We start from the raw sequence: 8,503 nt of genomic DNA on the forward strand, positions 1-8,503 counted from the left end.
TATTTTAAAATGCTTGAATATAATTATATAATTCAACTCTTCCTATGTACATAGTTTGACCACATATTTCATGTCTGCTATACTGAGATTGGAAATGTGTAGAGGTTTTTTTAAAAATCAGGTAGAAGCACAGAAAAAAGGAGTTGGAGAGAAAAGAAAACTAGCTATTGTCTGGTAACAAGAGAAGAGAAGGGAAACGAAGTAGCATATTTTTGTTCATTGTTTGATGGCATCTAAATTATGATCCCAAATATTTTTTTCTAAGAAATCCAATAATACAAGTATTCAGAGTGGAGTACCAACATTGATTTACTGGGAAAGAGAAGTGTACTCTGTTTTGCTGCATAATGTTGAGGGAGAAGGAAAGGAAAATTAGTTGAGTAAACAAGTAAGAGACTGGTTCTCAGGGAAGCTGTCTGCCTGAAAAATCACAACTACTGCACCTACAGGTAAGCCCTGCACAGATGAGCATGCAGGGTCCAGCACAGAAGCCTTCTGTTCTTTGTGTAATTGGCAAGCTCCCAGGAAAAATTTTCCTCTCTTTTTCAGGCATAAACATGGTGGCCTCTGTGGGAACATGCACAGGGAGGAGGGGAGCTTACCTAAAACAAACCCACAGTTATATAAACAAGAGAAGCCCACTTTGTGCTTGACTAGAGACATACCCACAGCTGGTTATATAAAGGGAATTGTGCAGACAGTTTTTTATACATAGCTGAGAGGAGTTTCTTATAAAAGCTTTTTGATTCAACTGTAAAAACGGCAATCCACTTGGACGCCCTTGTCTGCTGCAGAGAGCTTCCTCCTTTTGCTTATTAAACTTTCACTCCCACCTCACCCGTGTATCCCCGTTCCTTAATCACCTTGGTGGTGAGATGAAGAACTCCAGGTGATACCTCACAAGAGAGACTGCTACATTGTGTTGCCTTGGCGAGACTGCAACTTTAAGAAGTGTGACTTTTATTGCTGCTGAATTATTTTATCTCCTACCCAATTGAAAATAAAGGATATAAAGTGCTTAGGTTGAACCCAAAGTCCTCTGCTCTAGGTAACATCTTCAGCAGCCACATTAGTAGAGGGATGGGTGGTAATGGTGGAGTAGATGTCTCTTTGCTTCTGACAGGGTGTCTGCTTATGTGTTAAACAAAAGAGTATGGTATATATTTCATTAAGAAATCTGCTAAAAAATGAAGTAAAACAGGTTCATCTTCTTGAAAGGCACAGTATTTGCTATGGCAGCAAGACCAAAAGGCTTAAGTAGCAAAAATGCGCGTAGTAGTTACAAACATTTTCATATAAACAAAACAATGTGAGCATCTGTATATGACAATAACTCATGCAAAAAATATTTTTTAACTGAGACAGAAATCATTTTATACATAACAAAAGTTATCACTGTATTCTGAGGTAACATATTGTTTGTATATAGATGTTGTAAATAATAACTTATTTAAGTTATTCATCATTTATACAACAAATAATTCTTTGGAATCTACAAAATGCTGGTTTTGTTCTAGGCACTGAATGTACAAATTGATTTAAAATATGTGTTCTTAGAGTGCGGTAGATTAAAAAATACAAAATAGACTGAACACAGTGGCTCATGCCTGTAGTCCCAGCAGTTTGGGAGGCCGAGGCAGGTGGATCACTTGAGGTCAGGAGTTCGAGACCAGCCTGACCAACATGGTGAAACCCCGTCTCTACTAAAAATACACAATTAGCCGAGGGTGGTGGCACATGCCTGTAGTCCCAGCTACTCAGGAGACAGAGGCAGGACAATCGCTTGAACCCGGGAGGTGGAGGCGGCAGTGGGCCGAGATTCCACCATTGCACTCCAGCCTAGGCAACAAGAGCAAAACTCTGTCTAATATATATACATACATTTTGTATATATACATACGTGTGTGTATATATATACATATATGTATATATGTATATGTATTATATACATATATATCTGTCTAATATATATACACATATACATATATATGTATATGTGTATATATACATATACATATATATGTATATGTGTATATATACATATATATACACACATATATATTAGAGGTTGTACTGCTGAAAACAAGAGCTATTAATAAAAAAATTTCAGGAAACTGTGATTATTTTCAATAGAAGTGGATATTTTAATACAGGTCTCTTGTTTTTTCTTGTGGAAATAAATGACAAGATGGAATTTCTGGGTGTTTGGTATCTGAATATTTAAGTATAGCAGGTATGGTCAGTTTTTCAAAGGCATTTTACCATCTTACTTGTCCATCAGCAACTCATAAGATATTATGTGGAACAACGTCCTCTCCAACAACCTCTAGTATCAGTCTTTGTAAAGTTTTTCAATTAAATGTGTGTTTTTTTGTTTTTGTTTTTGTTTTTTGAGACAGTCTCACCCTGTCACCCAGGCTGTAGTGCTGTGGTGTTATCTTGGCCCACTGCAGTCTCTGCCTTCCAGATTCAAGTGATTCTCCTGCCTTGGCCTCTCAAGTAGCTGGGACTACAGATGCCCCCCACCACACCCAGCTAATTTTTGTATTTTTAGTAAAGACAGGGTTTCACCATGTTGGCCAGGCTGCTCTCAATCCTGACCTCAGATGGTCCACCTGTCTCAGCCTCCCAAAGTGCTGCGATTACAGTCATGAGCCACCGCACTTGGCTGGGTTTTCGTTTTCTTTCTTTTATATATATATATATATACACACACACACACACACACACACACACACATATGTATATATACACGTATATGTATGTATATATGTATATATACACGTATATGTATGTACATATGTATATATACGTATATATATATATACACACACACACATACTTTAAGTTCTGGGATAAATGTACAGAATGTGCAGGTTTGTTACACAGGTATACATGTGTCATGCTGGTTTGCTGCAAAATGGGTGTCAGTTTTGCAGGTAATTGTTATATTATTAAAAGATAATGGAATACCTAGCTAAAAAAAATGCGAGGAGGCATTGATGGGCCCATGTTTACTGAGCACATCCTGACTCCAGAATTAGAAATCCAATTTATGCCTCTGCAGTCCAATAAAATTTTTCCTTAAGAATCCAAAGATCAGACTTTCATTTCAGCAAACACTCCAATATGGTTTCTCACCTACTCACTCCAACGAAGCTGCTCGTATCAAAACATAAGTGCTATCCATATTGTTAAATTATAAATTGAACCATAACTCCTCGGACTTCGTCTTAATTTATGTATCAGCAGCATTTCACATGGTTGATCTCTACCTCCCCTTTGTAAAACTTTTTTTATAGAATTCCAGAAAACTTAACCTACTTTCCCTCCACCATGTTTTTGATAATTACCCCTAGTCCTTTTTTGCAGGTTTCATCTTTAGTATTTTTTAAATGTTAGAGGATGATTAGGCTCACGACTTTGACTGCTTATCTTTCTTTGCTTTCTTACTGATTTTTGTGTCATTAATTTCCTGATATTTCATATTACACCAAAACACTGGACACTACACACAACACTCCCTGACTTATCCATGTGGATGTCAGTTAGGAATCTCAAAATTAATATGTCTATGTGGAGCCACTGAAACTCCCCAAATTTGCTCTTCCCCATTCTGTTTAATGGCAACTCCCATTGTATAGTTTCTCAGCTCAGTATTCTTGGTGCCCCCTTTTAATTCTGTCTCTGTAGCCCTGTCACTCTCTTTCTGTATCTGTCTGATTCTCTCCTTCTCTCTCCTCTCTCTCTGCTCGCTGTCATTCTTGCTCTCTCTCCCTGCTTCACACACACACAAACACACACAGACAGACACATGTACACACACACACACACACACACACACACACACACACACACACACATATTTTCAGATCTGATGTGTATGGAATTCCTGCCAGCTTTACCTTTAAAGTGTAGTAATTCCAAATGTTGTTTCCAAATTCACCTTCCCACCCCCACCACTTGGTAACTATAGTGCTTCCCTCACAAGGCCAAGTGCAGAGTTTTCTTGGGGAAATAATGAGAACTATTATACATTCTTGTTTCAAGGACCCTTAAAATTATAAGATTACCATATTTGATACTAATTTAAGCTTCTGTCATTGCCCCTTTTTCAATCCAGTCTCCACACAGCTACCACAGTGTGCAAGTAGAAGTCTCAGCCATATCACCACACTCCTGCTTTAATGTCCCTACTCCATTGCTTCTTTTCTCCTTCAGAAGAGTTTAAGCTTAATGAAGCTGGGCAACTTCACATATTTTTCCACGAGCTGGAGATCACTTGGTTTAAGGTAAGCGATCAGTAAATATTTTTAAATAACAGAATCCAGGAATAATAGTTTTGTTTCTTTGAGAGTACATTTACTTTTAAAAATCAAGAAAATAGATTGGTCAAGAGAATTCTGCTTGTTTTGATTTTGTTATCACTCGATTAGATTAACTGTGTTAGTATAAATGTCAGTTTGGAAAGCTATAAGCATTTCCTAAACTTTAAAATGAAAGGCATGGAATTTAAATATCTGCTCCTTTTATTTGAGCAACCAAAAACACAACTTTTTAAATATATTTTATGTATGTATGAAATCTAAATTTATTTTTCTCTCTTTATCCCTGAATACGTTTTAAAGTTATTCATGTCCTCATTTTTTATAATCCACTTTAGTAACATTTTAAAATATTTTTTCAACTTCATCAAGAATATCTTTGTGTTCCACTGAATAGCTTGCCAAATAATAAAACATTAGCAGTATAATTTCCTCATAAACATTATTTAATTTGTTTGGTTAACCATAGATTTCCTACTCTCAACTCATAATTTCATTCAAGCATAATATATTCTACTTGAGCTTTGCGGGGTTTTCATACCATGTATTTGTCATTGAAATTGGTTTTTGATATTTGAACCACTAGTTTTGAACCAACTGTATTGTTGGTTAGTCTGGTCTGTAGAATCTTTCTTTGTTTTGATTCTGTGGTTTATTCAATACAGAGTAGCTGTGCTACTGTAAATTTTGAGGTCAAAAGCTGAAAACATTTTATGTATTTTAAAACAAAGTGGATGGCATTTAAATATCTATTCCTTAAAATTTGGAAGAAAGGTTAACACCATATAAACCCAGAGCCTGTATTTTTAGATTAGTAGCATGTAGACCTTTTCAATTTCTTCTAAAGTTGAAAAAAATAAACATTTTGTATTCATAAAATGCTTGATAACAGAAGGTAAATACTTAATTTTCACTTAAAAGAAATTTGGTTACATTGAAAGGAAATTTGGCTAATATAAGTAAGTTAGATACATTTCTAATTAAAACAGTAATTTAAGATAAATAATGCTCAAAGAACCGTGGTCGTTGCATTTATTCCAGAGAGAGGACATTGATCCTGATCTGGCTGTAATAACATAGTAGGTAGAACTGCTTGCATGGACACCCAAGCAAGGAAGGGAAGCTGGTGTCTCAAGGGGTCCCCGCTGAGATGGAAAGGGGTCAGGGCCCAGACTGTTGATGTCGCCTGGACCCAACCACCATGTCTCAGAAGAAGAAATGACCCTCCCGTCCTGGTGCCGCCCCAAACAAGGAGCTTAGCAGTGTTGCACACAGGATAGTCCTTGCAGGAGACATGTTTGACAAGCTGCTGAGGTGCCTGATGGGGCCAGGCTCTTGTCATGAAATGAGTTTGCATCCTGAGGAAGACTTTTTATTGGAAACCTGGCAGGGATCCAATTTCCCCTTTGTCTTAACCCCGTAGGATCACAGTAGACAGGGAGGAGGTCACCCAGCTGGCTGTTCCTGCTTGGCCCCCACTTCCCAGACCCTTCCAGGCAGGGAGAGCCGCTGAGCTCACTCCATGGGCTGCCCACATGGGGTCTGGACCCAGCCGCCCTCCTGTGCCTGGCAGGCAGCTCCTGGGCCATCAGAGGACCCATTGTGTGGTGATCAGTGGCCCATCGCCTGCCCTCGTGGTGGGTGCAGTTCACAGGTGCTGCCCCAGGCCTGGCACAGTGGCCTTTTCAGCCTGTCCCAGGATAGGGGACATGAATGATCCTTGCCTGTGCCCCTTCGGACTACGTGAGTTTGGACACTCACTGCAGAAGTCCCTCCAGGTCCCTTTTCAACTGAGTTGTGGGGGACTTGCTTAGTCCTCACGCCCAGGGTCAGGAGAGGGGTGCAGAGTCTGCACCCTAAATCCCCTAGGGCTAGAGGGAGCTCTCCCAGGTGACCTCTGTCCTGTTCAGTGACATGAGTCCTCCCAGATGGCCTCAGCCCTCTCAGGTGACATGCTTCCATGGTGACTCTGGCTCTTGCAGGAAGTGGGCTACCACAGGGACATGAGCTGCCTAACTGCCATCCTCCTCCTGTATCTGCCAGAGGAAGACACCTTCTGGGCACTGGATCAGCTGATGGCCGAGGAGAGGCACTCCCTGCAGGGTAGGCAGACAGCTTCCCCCAGGGCCTCACGCAGCCAGGCCATGGGACGGCCACCCTGGCTGGGCGATCCTGACTTCTGGGCAAGGCAGCTTCCTTGCTTTCCAGCTTGTTAGGAGCCTTCAAGACATCCCTGCTGAGGGTCCCACGGGAGCCCAGAGCTGAACAGGGACCCTTTCACTTCAAGGCAGACACCTTTCATCCCCAACAGCAGAGGGTGCTGCAGCCTCCCCCTGGCCACCCTGTGTGTCCCAGAGCCACAGCTCTCTAGCCCTGAGTTCATGCAGGTGACTGTCACTTCCCCAAGAGTCCTCCTACCTCCCAGCTGGCCACACTCCCAGCTGCTCCCCCAGCCCACAGATGGGCCAATGAAGTCAAGATGGCAGTGTCTGCCCATCCCATGTCCCCCAGCCGGACCCCATGTCCGGGAGATGGCCATGTAGCCCCTCGGCACCCACCCCGTTCCCTCCACTGGCCACTGCCTGCCGCAGCCCTGCCTCACAGCCTCAAAGGCAGGCCTGCCCTCCGGGCACCTCTACCCAGGATGCTGCTGTGCAGTGCCTCCAGCTAGGGCCCATCTCCCTAGAGCTGAGGCCACATGGTAGGGTCACCTGATGGAAGGGAGGAAGGCCTCAGGGTCCGGGGTCCCCTGCCACTGCCCAGCTCTTCCAGCTGACGGCTCCACATCTTGGGAGTGGGCTCTGATGCATGATGGGTCAGGGGCTTCTCAGTTTTCTACAGCCCAAATACTGCCCAGCTCCGGAGGCTCCTATCCCACCAGGAGCAGGTATAACACAAATCCTCCCCAAAGATCATGCGGTACCTGCTGAGTGGAAGACACCCTCAACTCTTTCCTAGAGGCCCAGGGTTCCATGGGGCAGGGAAACAGGGAAAGATGGAGCTACTGGAGGGTCTGACAAGAGGCTGAGTCCCAGCCAGGGCCTCGCCCAAGGTGAGGATTCTCCATGGGTTTGGGGTTGGGTTTTCTTTTCCTGCCCTGGAGGAGGAGGCAGAGGTACTAGGATGGGGGCTGAGCTCCAGCTGAGCAGGGTTAAAGGAAGTGTGTCCACCAGGCATCTGTGCATGGGGGAGTTGTTGGGGAAGCACTGGCCACTGCCAAGTGTTCTGCCCCCGGGCAGCTCAGGGGGCCCTGAGCACCTATGGTCCAGGAAGGGCCGTGCATTGAGGTTTATTGAGTTGGCTCCTCTGGTGCTTCGTTGATGGGGGTAAGGAGGCAAATGGAGACCCCAGACCAGGGACCCTCCTGTCCCACAGTGCCCAGTTCCCCCAGGAGGACCTGGCTCACCCCAAGCCCACAGGAAGCACAGGGAAGTTTCTGCATGCCACAGAAACCAGGCTCTCCCCAAGAGGGGGCATCACACAGCAGGGGCCAGGCCTCAGGCCCAGTGCTATTTTCACATTATTCATTTTATAAGGTGATATGGTTTGGCTGTGTTGCCACCCAAATGTCATCTTGAACTGTAATTTCCATAAGCCTCATGTGTCACGGGAGGGACCCAGTGAGAGGTAACTGAATCATGGCGGCAGTTTCCCCCATGCTGTTCTCATGATAGTCAGTGAGTTCTCATGTGATCTGATGGTTTTATAAGCATCTGGCATTTCCCTTTCTTGAGGTGATGAATGCCCCATTTATACCCTGATGTGATTATTACACATTGCATGCCTGTGTCAAACTATCTCATGTACCCCATAAATATATACACCTACTATGTACTCATAGAAATTAAAAATAAAAATAAATTTAAAATAAACAGTGGGAGCTTTTAAAGGTGAGGTTTGCCCTCCAGCACTGGTCCCTGACAGGTGTGACCTTCACGTCATCTTTCCACATGATCCAGGCCCCCATCTGCAGAGGCCAACAGTTCCCAGAGTGACCTTCCTCAGAAAACAGGGTCTTGGAGGAGACAGAGGAGGGGGCCTTGTCCTCCCCACTGCACAGCCCCTCGTGGGGATTGGAAAGTGAGGGTCTCTGCCCACAAGTTGGCAGCCACCCTAAGCTCTTTTGTGGGAGGAAGCATAGGGAATATAGGTCAGCGCTGGGACAGCATTTCCTGATC

Source organism: Homo sapiens, chromosome 22 (genome assembly GCF_000001405.40).
Source record: "Homo sapiens chromosome 22, GRCh38.p14 Primary Assembly".
Lineage (NCBI taxonomy): Eukaryota > Metazoa > Chordata > Mammalia > Primates > Hominidae > Homo > Homo sapiens.